This window comes from Homo sapiens, chromosome 6, assembly GCF_000001405.40.
Source record: "Homo sapiens chromosome 6, GRCh38.p14 Primary Assembly".
Classification (NCBI taxonomy): domain Eukaryota; kingdom Metazoa; phylum Chordata; class Mammalia; order Primates; family Hominidae; genus Homo; species Homo sapiens.
This window is the reverse complement of record NC_000006.12, coordinates 148,638,996-148,663,465: the sequence shown is the minus strand read 5'-3', so window position 1 is coordinate 148,663,465 and position 24,470 is coordinate 148,638,996. Positions and strand designations below refer to the sequence as shown.

General features: G+C 39.1%; 1 pseudogene, besides 3 other annotated features; it reads left to right on the top strand.

Annotated features, from left to right (window-relative positions):
- Nucleotides 6,148-6,207: an enhancer, noted in NCBI's record as "active region_25234". NCBI's record gives its function as "activates an Ori minimal core promoter by ATAC-STARR-seq in GM12878 lymphoblastoid cells {active_cell/tissue: GM12878}" and the evidence as "EXISTENCE:reporter gene assay evidence [ECO:0000049][PMID:35858748]".
- RPSAP40 (ribosomal protein SA pseudogene 40) lies at nucleotides 14,795-15,842 on the top strand (annotated as a pseudogene).
- Nucleotides 17,636-18,171: an enhancer, noted in NCBI's record as "OCT4-NANOG-H3K4me1 hESC enhancer chr6:148966431-148966966 (GRCh37/hg19 assembly coordinates)". NCBI's record gives its function as "activates a minimal SCP1, AML or CMV promoter by ChIP-STARR-seq in primed H9 embryonic stem cells {active_cell/tissue: H9 hESC(primed)}" and the evidence as "EXISTENCE:reporter gene assay evidence [ECO:0000049][PMID:30033119]".
- Nucleotides 18,172-18,706: an enhancer, noted in NCBI's record as "OCT4-NANOG-H3K27ac hESC enhancer chr6:148965896-148966430 (GRCh37/hg19 assembly coordinates)". NCBI's record gives its function as "activates a minimal SCP1, AML or CMV promoter by ChIP-STARR-seq in primed H9 embryonic stem cells {active_cell/tissue: H9 hESC(primed)}" and the evidence as "EXISTENCE:reporter gene assay evidence [ECO:0000049][PMID:30033119]".

Here is a 24,470-nt window from a genome sequence, read left to right as displayed (position 1 = left end):
CAACATCATTAATCATCAGAGAAATGCAAATCAAAACCACAATGAAATATCTTACCACAGTTAAAATGGCTTGTGTCAGAAAGACAGGCAATAACAGATGCTGATGAGGATGTGGAGAAAAGGACAGCCTCATATACTGTTGGTGGAAATGTAAATTAGTACAGCTACTGTAAAGAACAATATGGAGATTCCTCAAAAAATTAAAAATAGAATTACCATAGGATCTAGCAATTCCACTACTAAGTATAAAAAAGGAAATGTATATATTCAAAAGACACCTGCACTTCTATGTTTATTGCAGCAGTATTCACAATAGCCAAAATATGGAATCAATCTAAGTGTCCCTCAGTGGATGAATGGGTAAAGAAAATGTGGTATAAATATATAACGGACTATTATTCAGCCATGAAAAGAATGAAATCCTGTCATTTGCAGCAGCATGAATGAAAATTGGAGTTCATTATGTTAAGTGAAATAAGCCAAGCATAGAAAGACAAATATCACATGTTATCATTCATGTGGGAGCTAAACGAAAAAAAGTGGCTCTTATGAAGATAGAGAGTAGATTGGTGGTTACCAGAAGCTGAGATGGGGAAGGGGAAAGATCAAGGAAAGACTGAAGAGAAGTTGATTAATGGGTACAAATACATGGTTTCATAGAAGAAATAAGACCCAGTGTTAGATAGATCAGTGGGGTGACTATAGTTTATAGTAATCTAGTGTGCATTTCCAAATAGCTGAAAGAGAAGAATTTGAATGGTTCTAGCATAAAGAAAAGACAAATATTTAAGGTGGAGATCCCAAATTCACTGATTTGATCTTTATAAATTATGTGTCTATAATAGGACACATGTGTCTATAATTATGTGTCCTGTAAAGGAAATAGGAATTTCCTTTTCCATAGTTCCATAGGAAAAAATTTAATCAAGAAGGCAAAAGACCGATATAGTGAAAACTACAAATTGGTACTGAAATACATTAAAGAAAATACAAATAAGTGGAAGGACATCCTGTGTTCGTGGATTGGAAGACTTAATATTGTTAAAACGTCTATAGTATCCAAAGTGATCTAGAGATGAAATGCAATATGTATCAAAATTCCAATTGCAATTTTTAACAAAATAAAAATAAAAAACAATCCTAAAATCCATGTAGAACCACATAGGACCACAAACTGCCAAAATAATGTTAAGAAAGGAGAATAAAGCTGGAGGCATCACATTTCCTAATTTCAAAACATATGAAAAACCTGTAGTAATCAAAATAGTATGGTACTGGCATTAAAAGAGACATATAAGCCAATGAAACATAATAAAGAGCCCAGAAATAATTCTACACAAACACAATCAATTGTTCTTTGACAAGAGTACCAAGACTACATGATGGGGAAAAGATAGTCTCTTCCACAAATGGTGTTAGGAAAACTGGATATCCACCTGCAAAACAATGAAATTAGACCCTTATTTTACATCATATATTAAAAAATCAACTTAAGATAAATTAAATATAAAAATGTAAGAGAGGAAACTTTACAATGACTAGCAGAAAACTTAGGAGAAAAACTTCATAACACTGGACTTGGCAAGAATTTCTTGAGAGGACATCAAAAGCACAGGCAACGAAAGCAAAGATGGAGAACTATATATAATATATATATGGACACCATAAGAACAGTATGATACACACTTGAACCCCTAACATCCAGTAAATATGATGGTATTTAAGATGGAGTGTTTGGGAGATAATCAGGGTTAGATGTATCAATAGTAATGAAGATGGGACCCTAGATAAGGCCATCAAGTGCAAAATTGGAAGAGAGCCCTCACAAGAAAGCAAATAAACTTGAACTTTGATGTGGACTTCCCAGCCTCCAGAACTATGAAAGATAAAATTTCCTTTTTTGAAAAACAGAACTGGATAAGATCTGTCATAACTTAGTTCCAGTGACATGTAGAAACTTCTATATAACTCTAATCCCTCTTCACCATTTTTAAAAATCCAAATATTATACCTATTACAGGTATATTGCTTACAAACACAATATTACACTTTTATAATTATTACTTTATATAAAACATATGTCTTTTAGAGAAGCTGACAGAAAGGATGTAGTTATAGAGTTTATTAAACTTCCAATTTACTATTTCTGATTCTCTTATTTTCTTCTTTTGGATTCAAGTTACCATCTGGCATCATTTCCTTAGTGCAATAAAGCTACATTCTCACCTGCCTTTTTTGTTGTGTTATTGTCAAATATATTACATTTCTGTATGTTATATACCCTACAGTACAGTACAATATAACACAACACAATACATATTGTTTCATATAATTGTCCTTAAATCAATTAAGAGAAGAAAGGAGAAGCAATATGGAATTGCTTTATCTTTTAGAATTACCTACTTAATTATCTTACTGGCACTCCTTGTTTATTTATATTGATTCAAAATACTGTTTGCTGTAACTTGCTCTCAGCCTAAATAACTGTCTATTTCTTAGAAGCACATCTGCTAGCTCTTCTTTATCACCTTTTCACCTTCATTTTTGAAAAATCGTTTTTTCTGGATCTGAGATTCTTTGTTGACAGTTTTTGTGTGTGTGTGTTTTGTGTTTTTTGTTTTTGTTTTTTTTTTTACTTTCAACAGTATGAATATGTTATTCTAATGTCTACTGGCCTCTGTTATCCCTGATAAGAAGTAAGCTGTTAATCTTATTAGTGCTCCCTAGTGCATGATGAGTCATTTTCTCTTACTCTTTTTTGAGATTTTTCTCTTTGTCTTAACTATGATGTGTCTGTGTGTGGCTCTCTTTGCATTTCTCTTACCTGAAGCTTGTTGAGCTTATTGAATGTGTAGATTATTGGGGATTTTTTGGTGAAATTTGAGAAATTTTCAGACACTATTTCTTGATTTTTTAATTCACATATAAAAATTGTATATATTTATCATATACGACATGTTTTGAAATATGTGTACATTGTGGAATGGCTCACCCAAGCTAATGAATACATCTATTACTTCACATACTTATTTTTTTATGGTGAGAACACTTAAAATTTATTCTCTTAGGAATTTTCAAGAATACAATACATTGTTATTAACTATGTACCATGCTGTAAAATAGATCTCTTAAACTTATTCCTCCTATCTAAATGAAATTTTATGTCCTTTAACCAACATCTCCTCAAGTATTCCCCAATCCCAAACCTTTGGTAACCACTATTCTACTCTCTACTTCTATGAGTTTAATTGTTATACATTCTACATATAAGTGAGATCATGTGGTTTTTATCTTTCTGTGCCTGGTTTATTTCATGTAACACAATGTTCATCCAGTTTACCCATATTGTTGCAAATGACAGGATTTTCTTCTTTTTTATGGATGAATAGTACTTTGATGTGTACATATACCACATTTTCTTTATCCATTCATCTGTTGATGAACAGTTAGGATGATTCCATATCTTGGCTATTGTGAATAATGCTGTGATGAACATGGGAGTGGAGATAGTTCTTTGATATACTGATTTCATATACTTTGGATATATATTCAGGAGTGGAATGGTGGTCATATGGTTGTTTTATTTTCAATTTTTTTAGAAACTTCCTTTTTTTTTTTTTAAATAATGGCACTAATTTGCTTTCCCACCAGCAGTATGCAGGTGTTCCTTTTTCTTCACATCTTCTCCAATACTTGTTATCTTTCATCTTTTTGATAACAGCCATTCTAAGAGGTGTGAGGCCATATCTCATTGTGGTTTTAATTTGCATTTCTCTGATGATTTGTGATTTTGAGCATTTTTTCATATACCTGTTATCTACTTATATGTCTTCTTTTGAGAAATGTCTATTCAGATTATTTGCCTATTTTGTAACCAGGTTATTTGTTTTCTTACTATTGATTTATTGGAGTTCCTTATGTATTTTGGATGTTAACCTCTTATCAGATGTACGACTTGCAAACATTTTCTCTCATTCCATATGTTGTCTCTTCACTCTGTTGATTGTTTCCTTTGCTGTGCAGATTTTTAGTTTGATATAATTCCATTTGCCTATTTTTGTTTTATACTTGTGCTTTTGGTTTCATCAACCTTTATTTGTTTAGATATTTTTCTGTATTTTTCTTTCTCTCCTTCACTTCCGCTATTCCCATTACACATATGTTGGTGCATTTAATGATTTCCCACATTTCTCTGAAGTACTGTTTGTTATTTTTATTCTTTTTTTGTACTCTTCAGATAGTATAATCTCTATAAATCTATCTTCAAGTTTGCTGACTCATTCTCCTGTTAATTCAAATTTGCCGTTGAGTACTTCTAGTGATGTTTTTATTTGTTATTGAAATTTTCACCTCCAGAATTTCCATTTGATTATTTTAAAATGATTTCTCTCTTTATTGAAATTCTTTATTTGATGAGACACTTTTATACCTTTCTTTAATTTTTAGATATAGTTTTCTTTAGTTTTTAGATCACCAGTACCCTCAGTTGTGATCTTTGACCTCTCTCCAAGTTAATGATGCTGTTGTTTTGGTTGTTTATTTGTTCAGTGACTTGGCAGACCTAACTATGTGAAGTTTATTTCTTCTGAAGTGTGCAGCCTTTGATGTCCCTTCTCTGATTTTTTTTCTTGTTTTATATTTTATTCTGACTACCTAGGAGTTGCCTGTAGGTCAGTATAAGCCACTTATTTGTCAGAGACTGTGCTTAAGATCTTCTAGTAAGTTAGACTTTTAACCTTTACCATGGGATGTATGTGTAGTATGGAGGCTATCACAATTCAAGGAGTTTATCTTTTTCTCCTATATTCAACCAGGAATGGGTAGCTTGTATTTTCCTTCTCTGATGTCTCCTGAGTGTGCAGCTTTGTCATGAAACAGTCTTTCAGATTGCCAGGGATGTATTATTTTTATTTTTATTTATTTATTTATTTTATTTTATTTTTTTTTGAGACAGAGTCTTACTCTGTCATCCAGGCTGGAGCACAGTAGCGTGATCTCAGCTCAACCTCCATCTCCTGAGTTCAAGCAATTCTCCTGCCTCAGCCTCCCAAGTAGCTGGGATTACAGGCCCTCACCACCACAACTGGCTAATTTTTGTATTTTTAGTAGAGATGGTGTTTCACCATGATGGCCAGGGTGGTCTTGAACTCCTGACCTCAAGTGATCCGCACCCCCTCAGCCTCCTAAAGTGTTGCGATTACAAGCATGAGCCACTGTACCTAGTCTTAATTTTATTTTTAAACCTGACTTCCTATGAGTTGTTCTTGGGTCAGAGTAATTTATAGTTCAGTAATTTATAGTGTTTGGTCAGGAATTGTGCTTAAACCCCTTGTGTCAATGAAGCTTTGTCTCTTTTTGATGAATCTGCATGTGGCTTTGGAAATGTTTTCAGGTATGCCCTGTGCCTTTCTCCGATTGCTCCTGAGTGAAGCCCAGCATATGTACACAGTCTTCCTAACTCCTAGAGTTGACTATTATCCCATCTGGGCCCTTCTTAGATGTTCTTTCCCTGATTCTCTCTGTTAAACTTTGGCTTGTGCTGCCATTTTGTTTTTTTTGCTACTCATATCAGGAAGCTATCATTGCCCTCTTTGAAAAATTTTTAATTGACAAATAATAATTTTCTATACCATAGGGTAAAATGTGACATTGTGATACATGTATACATTGGGGAATTAGCAGATCAGGCTAATTAACGTATCCATCCCCTCATATATTTATCATTTATTTGTGGTGAGAACATTTAAAATTCCTTCTTTTAGCAATTTTGATACATACAATACACTATAATTAACTGCAGTCACCTTGCTATGCACTAGATCACCAGAAATTATTCCTCCTGTCTAATTTGTAAACCAAAAATAAAATTCTAAGGTCCCCAACCACCTGAATGGACATGCTCATCAGCCAGGGCTCTTTTAAAATTTAACCTGAGAGATGGTTTCAACCCCCATAAATGAAAAATGGGGGTTGAACATGCCTCATTATACCTCTCCAGCATTAACATCGACACAGGCCTTAAGTCTGATAAGAAACATTTTACAACCTATTCTCTCTAAAGCCTAGTACTTGAAGGCTTCCTCTGTAAATAAGAACTTGGATCTCCACAATGCTTTATCCTAACCCAAACATTTCCTTTCTAAATTGAGCAATTAATGATTCATGAATTGGGCAACCCCAGAATCACAGCAGAGTCACAGAGACTCCAGCGCAGCCACTTGGTAAAAGAATATTTATAGATGAAAAAGGGGAAATGACGTACAGAAATCAGAAGTGAGATACAGAAATAGCTGGACTGGTTACAGGCTGGCGTTTGCCTTATTTGAACACAGTTTGAACATTTAGCAGTCTCTGAGTGGTTGAAGGATGGCCACTGGGATTGGCCAAGACTCAGTTATTGTTACAGGCGCATACTCCTAAGTTAGGTTTTCAATCTTTTCTGACTATTAAACTAGGTTGCTGTTCATCCACAAGGACTCAAATATAGAAGTACGGAATCCTTCTCAGGCCACGTTTAGTTTGCTTTAACAATTCCCCCCCTTTTGGTCATTTTCTCAAATTCGAGAGATTGACCAAAACCTTAGTCATTGATGTCACTATCACCATTGTAAATGTACTTATGGTCTTGAAACCCACTGGGAAACAATAGAACAGTGGGTTTTGCAAGAAGGGAACAACGACTGAGTAGGGGTACCTCTTTATGCTGGAACATTCTGTTTACAGGAGAAAAACAAAACCTGGTCTGCTCTAGGATCTTTGTGTTTCCTTGAAGTTTTAGTTTAATTATGTCATATTTAGCACAAGTAACTCCATATTAGTTTGGATTGGTCTGTTTGGGCCTACTGCATGAGCTCAGTACAAAATAATGGCCTCCCATAATTTTGTTTAAAATAAAATTCCCCTCTTTGGCAAGGTTCTCACTTAGGTGAGATTGTGACCAAAACTTAGGGCCTTAGCACCACTCTCAATTACCATCATTTTGAGTTTCCAGTCTCAGCATGTCATTTATAGGTTGTGGTGTCCTTATGGTCACACATTTCTTTCAGCTTTCATCATTCTAGTTGAAGAGAGACCATTTGACATTCTAGAGATGGCTGCGTGCAAACATTTAAAAACTTTGAGAGAATACAGCGCAGGAGGGAGACTATTATTATGACTATTGGGAGGATAATATCAAGAGTTTGGAGTATGTGCCTTATACAGGGTTCCCATAAACCAAACCGCTTAAAATTAAATACATTAAAGAATGAGCTACATGAAGAGTCTGCTCACTTGACTAAGTGGTCTTTTCATTAATCCCCTACAACTGAATTTTTTATAATCTGCATTCGATGTATTTCTTTCTTTTTCTTTTCTTTTCTTTCTTTCTTTTTTTTTCTTTTTTCAAGATGAAGTCTTGCTCTGTTGCCCAGGCTAGAGTGCAGTGGTGTGATCCTGGCTCACTGCAACCTCTGCCTCCCAGGTTCATGTGATTCTCCTGCCTCAGCCTCCCAAGTAGCTGGGACTACAGGCAAGAGCTACCACGCCCAGCTAATTTTTGTATTCTTAGTAGAGATGGGGTTTCACCATGTTGGCCAGGATGGTCTCTGTCTCCTGATTTTGTGATCCACCCACCTTGGCCTCCCAAATTGTTGGGATTACAGGTGTGAGCCTGATGTATTTCTTTATAGGCCACAAGTGCCAGCAGCTGCACAGATACTTTTTTGTTTAGCTAATTCTATTATTCAGCATAACTTTCACAGGAGAATTTAAAGCCTGTTGGGTAATGATTGCCTTTACATAGAATCTGCTATGGAGTCTATTATGAGGGATACATTTCTAGTTATTGCCTCTTTTATTCAAAATAACAGAAACAGGACCTAACAAATGATGTCCTAGAAGAGTGAAGGCCACCTGGCAATGTTCTCTTTAAATCCTGATGTGGGTTAAGAGGAGTTTTGGCTGATTATGAGACAATATATGTACCATTAAAGTTTCTCACTTACACTGGGCCTTCATCTTTTATCTATTAAAGTATAAAGTTATTCATGTATAAGGCTGGCTGCAAAATCCTTCACAAATAAAAGTATATGCTGTAAGTGCACATAATAGACCCCTTTTTCACTTCTATTGTTCATAGAGGCATAAGCAAGAAAAAAATATTCAAAGATAACTGTTTCGTGATAGCAGAGAAGTCTTGATCTGTGATTTTGGAAAAAAGTTGTTCACATTAAGGATGCCATCTTCTGGGGAGAAACTGTCCTGGTTAGCTTTACCTTAAGGGTCCCAATGGGTGTACAGTTCCAAGAGTGTGGAGGGACACTGCTCAGTATTGAGATTATGAACCCAAAGTTCAAGGTCCCCAAGTTTTGCTGTAGTGTGGATGGCAAGGACAGTCTTTCTCTGATGTTCTCAGAAGACCCAATCTTTGAGTTCTAGATTATGAAGGCATTGTCCTCAGTGAACCATAAAAAACTTTCTTTATGGGGTGAAAATACACTGTAGCATAATAATCTGCTGTTATAACATCAGCCCTTTCACATTGGAAAGCTGTTTTTTTGTTTGTTTGTTTTGTTTTTGTTTTTGTTTTTGTTTTGAGATAGAGTCTCGCTCTGTCACCCAGGCTGGAGTGCAGTGGCGCGATGTTGGCTCACTGCAAGCTCCACCTCCTGGGTTCACACCATTCTCCTGCCTCAGCCTCCCGAGTAGCAGGGACTACAGGCACCTGCCACCACACCTGGCTAATTTTTTTTTTTTTTTTTTTTTTGTATTTTTAGTAGAGATGGAGTTTCACCATGTTAGCCAGGATGGTATTGATCTCCTGACCTCGTGATCCGCCCACTTCAGCCTCCCAAATTCTGGAATTACAGGTGTGAGCCACCACACCCAGCCTGCAGAACCTTTAATAACAAAAGCTTTAAGGACTCAGGAAGAACAAGGTGGCCATCATGGTTCTCCATGAGTCCATGCTTAACATTAGATTTATGTCCTCTTGAATACCAGTTATTTTTCCAATTTAGGTGCGTAGCACTGATAACTAATGAGTTATCATAGGTAATCTGACTTAGACCATGGAGTTCATTCAAATTATATATCAAAACAATTTTAGTATTGGCTGATTTAACATGATAATCTGGCAAAGTGTTTTCTTGGTATTTAATTAATTTTTGTTCTACTTGGGTTAGCAGTTTTATAAACCAATCTTTTTATTAAAGTTTCAGGAATTCTTACCCAGTCCAATTCTTGAGGAATTGGGGAATTCATGGGAAATTCTTACCCAAGATATGATTTTAAAGTTATTAGAAACCTGTTTTCAAGAGTGCTTTTCAGGGTCCTTTCCATTCTTTCACAAACCTCTTAAAAGACACCATATTATAGGATTTTGCATGCTTGTGAAGTTTTCAGAAACTGCATCAGTATCAAGCAATTAACTGCGGAAATGACTTTAAATAGTGATAGTTAAAGACACAATTGACAAAGAAATTTGGTTATCTCTGTGGGCTACAATAACAACATAATAACCTTAATTATGATTGATAGCATATACTCAGAAATATTAGAATCCCCATTCAATTTTGGAACACATATTACTATCATTCACTAAAATATAACCTGAAGAGTAAACATTATTTTTATTTTGAAAATGCTTCCTGTGATTTTTATACCAAATAAGCCAAATGTCACTGTTGCATCAGTGCATTATTGATGTCAAACCCAATTCTTAATAAAACCTTATAGGCAAATGTATTCAATATTAATCAGTTTGACCATAAGGTAGAATATTATAAACCTTGTATAACCTTTTATGATTTTTTTAAAGAGCAGATTAGTGCTCTAAGAAAAACCTGTTGTGCTTTTATTTCAATGTTAAATTTATGGAAAAACCGAATAATACCCCTTTAAATTTAGTCAATATTTTCACACATAGAATTTTTTACAAAGTTAATTTTTATAAACCTTCCACAATTTATTTAAACCTTTAGCTTTATTTAATTTAAAACAATCCTTTAACTCTGTAAACTAGGCAAAAATTTACATTCCCTTACCTTCTTATAATCTCGTACCAAAAACACATTTCATTCTCCTTACACATCTTATATGTAAACCTATGTTTTCAGTAGTCTCAACTTTCACTTTTGGTGCATAAATTTTCTTTTATGAATCCTTTTATGACTTACACAGACCACCTATGACATGCTTGGACTTTCTAACTTGTCCTAAACATCCCCTCTTTTAAACAACCAGTCATTTTACTTTAGGACAAGAACTTACCATACAAGATCCTTTCTTATATAAAATCTCCTTTCTTTATAACCTTCTTTGCATAGTTCAGGGGCATGGCTAATTCTGCATATTCCCAGGCCTTATTTAGAATTTAATGTCTCCAAAGTAAATTGAAAATTTTCCAAAGTCAAAGCAGTTTATGACCTTAAAGCATTTAGCAAACCTAATATCTGACCTGCCTAATTTAGACCAAATGTTTTTATTTTGCCAATAATCTTTGAAGCTGTTTTTCTTTCCCCAAAATTACTAAAGTTACATGAACTAAAAGGCATTACAGTTTTTATTTTTCTTTCAAAATATTTAAGTATTTATTTTTGTTTAAGCCAATTAGAGCTCTTTTATATAAACATTTACATATACAACACATATATAACTACACAGACAGACAGACTGAATATTAGTACTGTAGTTGTAAAATTTTTCATTTGCCAGTTTTTAAGTTTCTTAAGTGGTTATTGGCTTTAGGGTGGAGTCCTTGGATGAACAGGGCCAGGAAACGGGCTCTGGTGCCTCCTGTTTTTCCCAAGGAGTCCAGGCTGTTAGAGCTTGAATATTCACTTTTAATTAAGCTGGCTTTTAACCATAGCACTCTTTAGTAAAGTCCTTTTAAAATTTCTTATGACCTGACTTTAGCTAGTCCAAACAGTCTATATTTCTGGCTTTTGAACTTTACCATAGGTAACTTCCCAGGTACTCAGAGAGAGGAAAATTTAAGATAGTCCATGGAGGAGAAGAGAATCCACAAGGTTACACAGATTTCAAACCAGAAAGCACTCATTTCCTAAGCTGGGAATCAAACCCAGACTGCCACAGTGGAAGGGCAAAACCTTGTCTACTGAGCCACAGTGCAGGGCAGTCCAATTGCCCATCCCAGAAAGAGTCTAGAGTAGTTAATTTTGAGCTTGCAAAGGCTTTTAACTACTCAAGATAATTTTTAGAGCTATGACATGAACCCTAAAATACATGTTCCCTGGAGGGTGGAGACCAAGAGAAAGTACTGCCACGTGGTTACAAGCTCAAGCCCCCAAGGACATAAAACAAGATGGATACCTCATCCAGTTTCTTGTTTGTTTCAGGGACCCCTGCAGAAAAGTTCATTACTGGCCAGCTTGCTGGGCCATCTTGAGCAGCAAGCTTATGGGGTCCTATGCCCATGTTTTATCCTAAGGTACCCCTCAACATAGAAAAACAAATTCATAGCACAAAATACACCAGATTCATTATGGCTTAAGACTAGCCTCAGAATTCTTTTTTGCATTAATCAAAACTTTACAGAGGAGATAAACCGTGATTTTTACCATTCACTCAAGTAGTTTGCACAGAGAGAGAAGCCAGAAATCTGACTGGTAAGAAATTCTTACCCTTTTGCTGGCATGCCAGGCTTCTGGGTTCCGTTTCCCTGAGTGGCTCTAGTGACCCAGCTCACTACACCATAACCCTGGGGGCCAAGCTGCAACACAAAAGAAAACATTTTTCTTTTTCTTTTAATGCACTTCAGTGCATTGTTTTTCATTTGGAACATTCCATTGTAAGTTATCTTTAGTAAGATTTTGACATTTCTGCCAGACTTTGCTGCCTCCCAGGCCTAATGCATAAGCCAAAAGGAGCTCAGTTTTCCAGAAATTAAGAATCCCATTTTAACCTAAAATATTGGCTTTACTCTCAGATTCTCTTGATTAACTTAGACAATGATTCCTCCTACCTAGGTGTGCAAGAAAAATGAAACAAAAGGGTAGAACACAAAAAGCTCCATGAATTTTAAAAGCCAAGTTTTATAACCCCTGCAATATTACTGCTTACTACCAGTTCTTTTCTGACCCAGTCAGATGTAAGAGACGTCTAACTGGATCCAAGCCAGTTAACTTCCAGATCAAATCCCATCCTGGACCTAGTCCAGTTTCTGTCATGACTTCCAAACCCAGTTTGGATGAGAAATTTGCTCAAAGAAACTCAGAGAGCTCAAAACACAAATCCCTGGAGCTCCAAAATCCAAGAGGGAGCTTACCCACAATTCCCAGCTGCTGTGAGAGATCAGTGGACACAAGTGGGTTCTGCAGTAGCCTGCATGTTCACTCAGCACTCCTGGGGGTGGCTAGAAGCTCCACTTCAGATCCTGCTTCTGACACCATCTGATAAAAGAAAAACTTCAGCCGAATTCAATTTAAAGGAGTTTAATATGTTTATTTGCAATTAAACTCCTTTAAATTGAAGTCAGCTGAAGTTTTTCTTTAATCAGTCCATAGACAAACTCAACCATTTGTCAACCAGAAAATTTTTAAATTTACCTATAGCCTGGAAGCCACGCTTCAAGTTGTCCTGCCTTTCTGAACCAAATCTTAATGCATTTCTTAAATGTATTTGATTGATGTCTCATGCCTCCCTAAAATGTATAAAACCAAGCTGTGCCCTGACCATCTTGGGCACATGTTCTCAGGACCTCCTGAGGGCTGTGTCATGGGCCATGGTCACTCATATTTGGCTCAGCGTTAACCTCTTCGAATATTTTAGAGTTTGACTCTTTTCGTCAACAAATTGACACTTTGCACTTTTTAACAAACATTTTCCCTTTTCCCCTCAACTCTCCTGCAACCTCATCTTCTGGAAACCACCATTCTATTCTCTACTTCTTGAGTTAAACTTTTTTAGATTTCACATATAAGTGAGATCATGCAATATTTGTCTTTCTGTGCATGGTTTATTTCTCTTGGCATAATGTCCTCTAGATTCATCCATATTGTCACAAATAACAGAATTTCCTTCTTTTTGAAGGCTGAATAGTATTTCATTGTGTACATGTACCCTGTTTTTCTCCATTCCTCCACTGATGGACACTTAGGTTGATTCCATGTTTTGGCTATTGTGACTAATGCTGCAATGAAAATGAGAGTGCAAATGTCTCTTTGACATGCCGATTTCAATTCCTTTGGCTATATACTTAGAAGTGGGATTGCTGGATTTAAGTGCCCTTTTAATTGCTGTCCACCATGAATTAAGATCTCCATTATCTCTACAACACCCTTAGGCATGAAATTCTCTGCACTATTTTCCTAATTGAGTCAGTTCCCTTGGGCAGGACTACAGAGCTTTGTCCTTAATAAAGGCTACTGCTCTCCTATGGCAGGAACTCTGCAGACTGCACAGGAGCTTGGGTGTAGATAATAGCCTCCTTATCCTGGTGACATCCCTGCTCTATTGGATGCTGGATGGAGGGAGAATGATAATCTCCAGCCTTCTTAGCTTGCCTTCTCCTTGTGGAACCTCTGCCCTGGGAATGACAGGGGAGGGACCTGGAGCCCCAGTATTCTCAATCTGCTGGTTCTGAAATAGTATTTCCACCCTATGAGTAGGGTATAAGATGGGAGCCTCAGCCCTTTGGGCTATGTATGATCAGAACTTCTGTATGAAAGAGTTTATGCAGGAGGTCATGTATGATAAGAACAAAGCTTCTCATCATAGGGGAAGTGAGAAACAGCAGCAGCCTGCATTCCCAGGGTGAAGCTGTAGCCCTATTCTGGGACACAGGAGGGAGAGGGATCCCCTGTGTCATATTCTTGGGCTTCACTGCCTGAAGTTGAGTGCCCAGAGCAGTGTTTCCATAAGTCAGAGCTTAGAGAGGGGAGGGAGGAAGCAGTCATGGCTCAGAGGACACTGTTAAAGTCAACTAAATATGGCCTGAGGAGGACTCTGTACTTCTGTATTTGAGTCCTTGTGAACAAACTGCAACCTAGTTTAGTAGGCAGACAAGATTGAAAACCTAACTTAGGAGTATGCACCTGGAGCAATAGCTGAGTCTTGGCCAATCCCAGTGGCTGTACTTCGACCATTTATACACTGCTGAATGTTCAAGCTGTGTTCAAATAAGGCAAACACAAACTTGGAACCAATCCAGTCGTTCTGTACCTCACTTCCAATTTCTGTACATTATTTCCCCTTTTTGTCTATAAATATTCTTCCACTACATGGCTGTGCTGGAGTCTCTGTGAATTTGCTCTAATTCTGTGGGCTGCCCAATTTGAAAATCATTCATTGCTCAATTAAACTCCTTTAAATTTAATTCGGCTAAAGCTTTTCTTTTATCAATACAGACTATGCTGTTACCAAGGATTTAGTAAATTTTCTGGAATAAATATTTCTTCATTTTCTGTATGCCCTCAGAACAATGTGCAGAAACTTAAAAAAAACTATTTTCTTTAACTTCTTTTTTAGTAAAACGATTGTTATGCTTAGTAGGCTGCTGTGCTTCTCACTTCTTCTTTCTGGAAATCTGTTAGCAATCACTGTCAATAGATTCTTGACAAAGATACCAAGGGAATTTAATGGGGGAAAGGATAATTGTTTCAACAGTTGGTGCTGGAACAACTGGATATTTATATGCTAAAAAATTACCCTTGTTTCTTACCTCACACCATAAAGAAAAATTGATTCAAAATAGATAAAGACCTTAAGGTAAGAGTCAACAGCATAAAACTTCTAGAAGACATCAGAGAAAATCCAAGCAGTCACAAGTTAGCTAAAGTTTTCATAATTAGGCTTTCTGGATACCCAGAGGAGGGTCCATATGGCATTGTTCTGGATTCCATTGTAACTTCAAGGGAAACTTTCACAACGTCTGGAGCCCTTGATATCCTGCAAATGAAGGAGGAGGATGTCCTCAAGTTTCTTGCAGCAGGGACCCAATTAGGTGGCATCAACCTCGACTTCCAAATGGAACAGTACACCTATAAAAGGAAAAGTGAAAGCATCTGCTTCCTAAATCTGAACAGGACCTGGGAGAAGCTTCTTCTGGCAGCTGGCGCCATTGTTGCCATTGAAAACTGTGCTGATGTCAGTGTCACGCCCTCCAGAATACTGGCCAGTGGGCTGTGCTGAAGTTTGCTGCTGCCACTGGAGTCACTCCTATTGCTGGCTGTTTCATTGTTTCACTCTTGAAACTTTCACTAACCAGACCCAGGCAGCCTTCTGGGAGCCATGGCTCTTGGCAATTACTGATCCCAGAGCTGACCACCAGCCTCTCACAGAGGTGTCTTATGCTAACCTGCCTACCATTGCTTTGGGTCACACAGATTCTCGTCTGCGCTGTGGACATTGCCATCCCCTGCAACAACAAGGGCACTCACTCAGTGGGTCTGATGTGGAAGATGCCAGCCTGGAAGTTCTGCATATGCATGGCACCATCTCCTGTGAACACCCATAGGAGGTCGTGCCTGATCTCTATGTCTACAGAGATCCCAAGGAGATTAGAAAGAAAGAGCAGGCTGCTGCTAAAAAAGCTGAGGCTAAGGAGGAATTTCAGGGTGAAGGGACTGCCCTGGCTCCTGAGTGTACTGCTACTCAGCCTGAGGTTGCAGCCTGCTTTGAAGGTGTGCAGGTCACACAGGTGCCCCCTGTGTCTGTTCAGCAGGTCCCTACTGAAGACTAGAGCACTCAGCCTGCCATGGAAGACTGGTCCACAGCTCCCACTGCTTGGGCCACTGAATGGGTATGAAAAACCACTGAGTGGTCGGTCTTAAGCCATTTTCCACAGGCTCCTAAGCAAAATGGAAATAAGGTTGTTGGAAAATAAACATCAGTTCTTAAAAAAAAAAAGCTTTTTATAATTAGGACATAAAAGTACAAAGTATAAAATAAAAAAAATTGGATTTCATCAAAAGTAAAAACTCTTGGTCCTCAAAAGAAATTTAAGGATATGAAAAGGTAAGCCACAGACTAACAAAATATTTTCAAATATTTTCAGATACAGAATTTGTATCTGAAATATATAAATAACTCACACAATTCAATAATAAGACAAATAATCCAAATAAAAATGGGCAAAAGATTTAAACAGAAACTTAATCAAATAAGATATAGAGAAGGAAAATAAGCACATAAGATAGATGTTCAACATTGTTGTTTATAAAGGAAATGTAAATCAAAACCACAATGAGATATCACTACACACTCATAAATATGGTTCTAATTAAAAAGGCCAATCATACCTAGTGTTGGTGAGGAAGCAGAGCAATTGGAATGATCATACACTGTGGGAACATAACCTGGAACACCACTGGAAAACTGTCAGTTTTTTAAAAACAAACCTGGCCGGGCACAGTGGCTCATGCCTGTAATCCTAGCAATTTGGGAGGCTTAGGCAGGCAGATTACCTGGGGTCGGGAGTTCAAGACCAGCCTGACCAACATGGTGAAACCCCATCACTACTAAAAATACAAAAATTAGCTGGGCATGGTGGTGCATGCCTGTAATTCCAGCTACTCGGGAGGCTGAGGTAGGAGAATTGCTTGAATCCAGGAGGCAGAGGTTGTAGTGAGCTGAGATCGCACCATTGTACTCATGCACTCATAGCCTGGGCAACAAGAGCAGAAACTCCAAAAAACAAACAAACAAACAAACAAAACCCATAAACCTGTTCTACTATGCTGCCATTTCAATCTTAGGTATTGCCTAAGAGAAATGAAAGCATGTGCCCACACAAAGACTTGTACATAATCTTCATAGCAGCTTTACTCTTAATAGCCCATAACTGGACAGAACCCAAATGTCCATCAACAGGTAAAGGAATAAATAACTGGTGGAGGACCAATACAAAGATGTACCACTCAGAAACAAAAAGAAATAAACTATTGATAAAGACGAATGAGTGTCATAAGTATTATGCTAAGTAAAAGAAAGCAGAAACAAATGCCTATAGACTCTATAATTCCATTTATATAAAATTCTGAAAAAGGCAAAACTAGGTTAGTGCAAAAGTAATTGCAGTTTCAGATTATAAATTTTAAATCATTATAGCTAGGCTCAAACACATCTTTATTAATCAAAATAGGAATCATTACAATCAACGCATTTTTGCCAACGATAAGTAAGTTTTTTTATTCCTGTAGCACAAAAATCCTTGCTTCAGGATTCGACAAACTCTTGGAAAGCATTTTCTGCATCCTGCTGGTTGTAGAAGCGTTTTCCCTGCAAAAAGTTGTCGAGATGCTTGAAGAAGTGGTGGTTGGTGAGAAGTCAGGTGAATATGGCAGATGAGGCAAAACTTTGTAGACCAATTCATTCAACTTTTCAAGCATAGGTTGTGCAACATGCAGTCAGGCATTGTCATGGACTCAAATAAGAAAATTGCTTGAATCTGCCATTCGTCTAACATCATTTCCATGGTCTAAAATGAATGGTAAGTGGTAAGTCATTAGCAAAAAAACATAAAGTGAGAAATGCATATTAAAATGATTTATAACATAACCACATTTATTTAAGAATGTATTCCAATATCAAACGGCAAATTCCAATAATGCAAAAACCACAATTACTTAATATAATAATAGAAAGTATGTCACTGGTTGCCAAGAGCCAGGTGATGGTAGAGGGAGGTGACTGTAAAGAGGTTGCAAGGGGATTTTTAGGGGCCATGGATATGTTCTATGTCAAGATTATTGTGATAGTCCTACAACTGCATACATTTATCAAAACTCATCAGATTGCTCACCTGGAATTAATTGATTTCATTTTGCATGTAAATTATTTTTGATGCATTTAAGTTTCCTCCATGTCTTTTTGTGACTTGATAGCTTCTTTTTATTACTAAATAATGTTCCTTTGTCCAGTTATACCACAGTTTGTTTATCCATTTGTTATTTGAAGAACATCTTGACTGTTTACAGTTTTTGGCAATTATTAGTAAAGCTGCTATAAACATACTTTCATGGGCATCCGTGTGAAGAGACCACCAAACAGGCTTTGTGTGAGCAATAAAGCTTTTAATCACCTGGGTGCAGGCAGGCTGAGTCCGAAAAGAGAGTCAGTGAAGAGAGATAGGGGTGTGGCCGTTTTATAAGATTTGAGTAGGTAAAGGAAAATTACAGTCAAAGGGGGGTTGTTCTCTGGCGGGCAGGAGTGGGGGTCACAAGGTGCTCAGTAGGGGAGCTTTTGAGCCAGGATGAGCCGGGAGAAGGAATTTCACAAGACAATGTTATCAGTTAAGGCAGGAACAGGCCATTTTCATTTCTTTTGTGGTGGAATGTCATCAGTTAAGGCAGGAACCGGCCATCTGGTTGTGTACGTGCAGGTCACAGGGGATATGATGGCTTAGCTTGGGCTCAGAGGCCTGACATTCCTGTCTTCTTATATTAATAAGAAAAATAAAACGAAATAGTGGTAAAGTGTTGGGATAGTGAAAATTTTGGGGGATAGTATGGAGAGATAGTGGGCGATGTTTCTTAGGGCTGCTTCGAGCGGGATTAGGGGTGGTGTGGGAACCTAGAGTGGGAGAGATTAAGCTGAAGGAAGATTTTGTGGTAAGGGGTGACATTGTGGGGTTGTTAGAAGAAACATTTGTCATGTAGAATTATTGGTAATGGCCTGGATACAGTTTTGTATGAATTGAAAAACTAAATGGAATAACAGAAGGAGAAAAACAGGTATAAAAGGTCTAAGAATTGGGATGACCCAGGACATCTGATTAGAGAGTGCCTAAGGAGATTCAGCATAGTCCTGCCAGCAAAGATTATTTATTTACTTCAGGAGTTAAGAGTGGCAGTTTGGGGATAGCACCAGGAGATATCAGCTGTGATGGCTTGGAGAAACAGCGTAAACCGGCAGTGTAAACAAGAGCAGGGCATGTATGAGTAGTTGAGAATGGTGAATAGGAGTATGACTAGACAGAAGTTAGTAGGGATGACAAGTTTTTTTGGGGCACAGTCTAAGTTGGTCTGGCGTCTGGAATGAGACTGGGGCCTAATAAAAAGGAATGTCTATACAGGAGCTCAAATGGGCAGTACCTTGTAGCATTCTGAGGACAGGTCTGACTTCTGAGAAGGGAAAGTGGTAAAAGTATTGTCCAGTCCTTTTTAAGTTGGTGGCTGAGCTTGGGAAGGTGTGTTTTTAAAAGACCTTTAGTCCGTTCTACTTTTCCTGAAGACGGAGGACCATAAGGAATATAAAGGTTTCACTGAATACTAAGAGCCTGAAAAACTGCTTGGCTGATTTGACTAATAAAGGCTGGTCTGTTATCAGACTGTATAGAGGTGGGAAGGCTAAACTGAGGAATTATGTCTGACAGAAGGGAAGAAATGACTGTGGTGGCCTTCTCAGACCCTGTAGGAAAGGCCTGTACCTATCCAGTGAAAGTGTCTACCTAGACTAAGAGGTATTTTAGTTATCTGACTCGGGGCATGTTGAGTAAAGCTAATTTGCCAGTCCTGGATGGGGGCAAATCCTTGAGCTTGATGTGTAGGGAAGGGAGGGGGCCTGAATAATCCCTGAGGAGTAGTAGAATAGCAGATGGAACACTGAGAAGTTATTTCCTTGAGGATAGATTTCTACGGTGGAAAGGAAATGAGAGGTTCTAAGAGGCGGGCTAGTGACTTGTACTATAGCATAGCCTGCCTTTGCTGGTGTGTGGCGATTAGGCCTGGTGGAACTGCCATCAATAAATAAAGCGTGATCAGGGTGAGGAACAGGAAAGAAGGAAATATGTGGAAATGGGGTGAATATCAGGTGGATCAGAGAGATACAGTCATGGGGGTCAGGTGTGGTATCAGGAATAATGTGGGAGGCCAGATTGAAGTCCGGGCCAGGAACAATGGTAATTGTGGGACTTAATAAAGAGTGAGTACAGCTGAAGGAGCCGGGGAGCAGAAAGTATATGCGTCAGGTATGAGGAAGAAAATAGATTTTGGAAGTTATGAGAAATGTAGAGAGTGAGTTGAGCATAGTTTGTGATTTTTAGGGCCTCTAAAAGTATTAAAACAGCAGCAGCCGCTGCAGGCAGACATGAGGGCTAGGCTAAAACAGTAAGGTCAAGTTGTTTGCACAGAAAGGCTACAGGGTGCGGTCCTGGCTCTTGTGTAAGATTTCTGACCACACTAACCATGCCTAGGAAGGAAAGGAGTTGTTGTTTTGTAAGGGATTGAGGTTTGGGAGATTAATCAGACATGATCAGCAGGGAAAGCACGTGTGTTTTTATGAGAATTATGCCAAGATAGGTAACAGATGAGGATGAAATTTGGGCTTGACTGAAGTAATGGGGGCTGTCTGTGAAGCCTTGCGGCAGTACAGCCCAGGTAATTTGCTGAGCCTGATGGGTGTCAGGGTCAGTCCAAGTGAAAACGAAGAGAGGCTGGGATGATGGGTGCAAAGGAATAGTAAAGAAAGCATGTTTGAGATCCAGAACAGAATAATGGATTGTGGAGGGAGGTATTGAGGATAGGAGAGTATATGGGTTTGGCACCATGGGGTGGATAGGCAAAACAATTTGGTTGATAAGGCATAGATCCTGAACTAACTTGTAAGGCTTGTCTGGTTTTAGGACAGGTAAAATGGGGGAATTGTAAGGAGAGTTTATAGGCTTTAAAAGGCCATGCTATAGCAGGTGAGTGATAACAGGCTTTAATCCTTTCAAAGCATGCTGTGGGATGGGATATTGGCATTGAGCAGGGTAAGGGTGATTAGGTTTTAATGAGATGGTAAGGGGTGCATGATTGGTCACCAAGGAGGGAGTAGAGGTATCTTATTGTTGTGGGTTAAGGTGGGGGAATACAAGAGGAGGATGCAAAGGAGGCTTTGGATTGGGAAGAAGGGCAGCAATGAGATATAGCTGTAATCCAGGAATAGTCAGGGAAGCAGATAATTTAGTTAAAGTGTCTCGGCCTAATAAAGGAACTGGGCAGGTGGGGATAACTAAAAGGAGTGCTCAAAAGAGTATTGTCTAAATTGGCACCAGAGTTGGGGAGTTTTAAGAGGTTTAGAAGCCTGGCTGTTAATACCCACAACAGTTATGGAGGCAAGGGAAACAGGCCCTTGAAAAGAAGGTAATGTGGAGTGGGTAGCCTCCATATTGATTAAGAAGGGGACGGACTTACCTTCCACTGTGAGAGTTACCTGAAGCTCGGCATCCGTGATGGTCTAGGGGGCTTCCGAGGCGCTTGAGCAGCGTCAATCTTCAGCCGCTAAGCCAAGAAGATCTGGGAAGGAGTCTGAGAGCCTTGGGCCAGAGTTCCAGGGGCTCTGGGAGTGGCGTGGCTGCCAGGTGAGTTGGACAGTCCGATTTCCAGTGGGGTCCCACACAGATGGGATGCAGCTTAGGAGGAATCCCGGGCTGCGGGCATTCCTTGGCCTGGTGGCCAGATTTCTGGCACTTGTAGCAAGCTCCTGGGGGAGGAGGTTCTGGAGGAATGCCACGCCTGGCCGCTGCGGTTCAGGCCTTTGGAAGTTCTTGTGTGCTGGAGATATGGCTGGGGTTTGTCTCACAGTGGAGACAAGGAATTGCAACTTGTTTCTATTATTGTACACCTTGAAGCTGAGGTTAACTAAATCCTGTTGTGGGGTTTGAGGGCCGGAATTTAATTTTTGGAGTTTTATTTAATGTCAGGAGCAGATTGGGTAATGTATTTTGAGAATAAGATGGCCTTTTGACCTTTTAGGGTCTAGGACTGTAAAGTGTCTCAGGGTTGTTGCCAAACAAGTCATGAACTGGGCTGGATTTTTATATTTGATGAAAAAGAGCCTAAATGCTATCTGATTTGGGATAAAGAAAAAGGAACATTAACCTTGACTATGCCTTTAGCTCCAGCCACCTTTTTAAGAGTAAATTGCTGGGCAGGTGGGGGAGGGCTAGTCATGGAACGAAACTGTAAGCCAGACCAGGTGTGAGGAGGGGAGGGGATAAAAGGATTATAGGGTGGAGAAGCGGAGGCTGAGGAAGAATTGGGACCTAGCTTGGCCTGGCGAGGAGCAGCCTGGGGAGGAGGGGAGAGGTCAGATGTGTCTGACCCCTAATCTGTAGAAAGGAAGATTAGAAAGACTCAGTGACGCTTGGGGTTGGGACTGAGGGGACAGGTGGGAGGGAAAGAAGGAAGATTTGGGATGAGTTGCACTGGGAACAGAGACTAGAGAGGGACTGATATGTAAAGGAATGCCTGGACATCAGGCACCGTAGACCATTTGCCCATTTTATGACAAGAATTATTTAGATCTTGTAGGATGGAAAAGTTGAAAGTGCCATTTTCTGGCTATTTGGAACTACTGTCGAGTTCGTATTGGGGTCAAGCGGCATTGCAGAAGAAAATAAGACTCTTAGATTTTAGGTCAGGTGAGAGTTGAAGAGGTTTTAAGTTCTTAAGAACACAGGCTAAGGGAGAAGAAGGAGAAATGGAAGATGGAAGCTTGCCCATAGTGAAGGAGGCAAGCCGAGAGAAAAGAGTAGAGACACGGAGAAGGGGTGGGGGGTTCTTGCCCTCCAGAAAAGCAGAGAAGGGGTTGGGGCACAGAGATATGAGGTCAGGGCACAGAAATAAGGGATTGGGGCACAGAGATATAAGAGGTTGGGGTGTGGAAATAAGGGATCGGGGCGCAGAGATATAAGAGGTTGGCGCATGGAAATAAGGGATTGGGGCGCAGAGATATAAGAGGTTGGGGCACAGATATATGAGGTTGGGGTACTGGCCCCTCCTCCAGAAAAGCGGGACTTGCTGCTAAGGGTGAAGAAGGGGTTGGGGGTTTCTTGCCCCCCAGAAAGGTGGAGAAGGGGTAGAGACATGGAGAGAAAGGGTTGGGGTACTTTCGCTTCCCCCAGAAAAGCGGGACTTGCCGCTAAGGGTGAAGGACCAAGGCAGGCATCCCTGTGTGATCTGACACCTCTGAAACTTGGGTGAATGATCAGAGAGGCATCCCTGCAATGATTAAACACCAAGGGAAGGCTGCCTTCCCAGTCCGTGACTGGCGCCGGAGTTTTGGATCCACGGATAAAATGTGTCTCCTTTATCTCTACCAGAAAATGAAAGAAATTGAAATTAAGAGAAGGGAGAGATTGAAGAGTGGAAAGGAGAAAGTGGTTGAGGGATAGTGAGAGACGTTGGAGAAGGGAATAAGAAGAGGCCGCTTACCTGATTTGAAATTGGTGAGATGTTTCTTGGGCTGGTTGGTCTGAGGACCTGAGGCCGTAGGTGGATCTTTCTCAGGGAGCAAAGAGCCGGAGAACAGGGGATTGATCTCCCAAGGGAGGTCCCCCAATGCGAGTCATGGCACCAAATTTCATGCACGTCTGTGTGAAGAGACCACCAAACAGGCTTTATGTGAGCAATAAAGCTTTTAATCACCTGGGTGCAGGCGGGCTGAGTCCAAAAAGAGTCAGTGAAGAGAGATGGGGTGGGGCCGTTTTATAAGATTTGGGTAGGTAAAGGAAAATTACAGTCAAAGGGGGGTTGTTCTCTGGCGGGCAGGAGTGGGGGGTCACAAGGTGCTCAGTAGGGGATCTTCTGAGCCGGGATGAGCCGGGAGAAGGAATTTCACAAGACAATGTCATCAGTTAAGGCAGGAACAGGCCATTTTCACTTCTTTTGTGGTGGAATGTCATCAGTTAAGGCAGGAACCGGCCATCTGGATGTGTACGTGCAGGTCACAGGGGATATGATGGCTTAGCTTGGGCTCAGAGGCCTGACACATACCTGTGCAAATTTTTGTGTGGCCATAAATTTTCAGCTTAATTGTGTAAATATCAAGGAGCATGATTCCTGGATTGTATGGAAAGACTATGTTTGGCTTTGTAGAAACTGCCAAACTGTCATCCAAAGTTTTCATGCCTTTATACAGTCCCATTGGCAATGAATGAGAATTCCTGCTGCTCCACATCCTTGCCAGCATTTGATGTTGTCAGTGTTTGGGATTTTAGCCATTCTATTAAGCATGTAGTAATATCTCATTTTAATTTGTAATTTTCTTATTAAAAAGTCATGTGAACATCTTTTCACATGCTTATTTGCTATCTGTATGTCTTCTTCAGTGAGGTGTCTGTTCAAATGTTCTGCCCATTTTTAAATTGGGTTGTTTGTTTTTTTATTATTAAGTTTTAAGATTTTTTTGCATATTTTGGATACAAGTCCTTTATCAAATATGTGTTTTGCTAATATTTATTTCCAGTCCGTGGCTTGTTTTCTCATTCTCATGACAGTGTTTTTCACAATGTAGAAGTTTTTTATTTTAATAAGGTCCAACTTATTAATTTTTTCTTCTATACATTGTACTTTTGATGTTTTACCTAAAAATCCATCACCAAATCCAAGGTCCTCTAGATTTTATCCTGTTATCATCTAGAAGTTTTATAGCTTTTGCATTTAACATTTAGGTCTATGTTGGATTCAGTTGCTACCATTTCGTTGAGGATTTCTATATCTCAGTTTTTTTCCTTTCTTGTAATCATTTACCTGGCTTTGGCATAT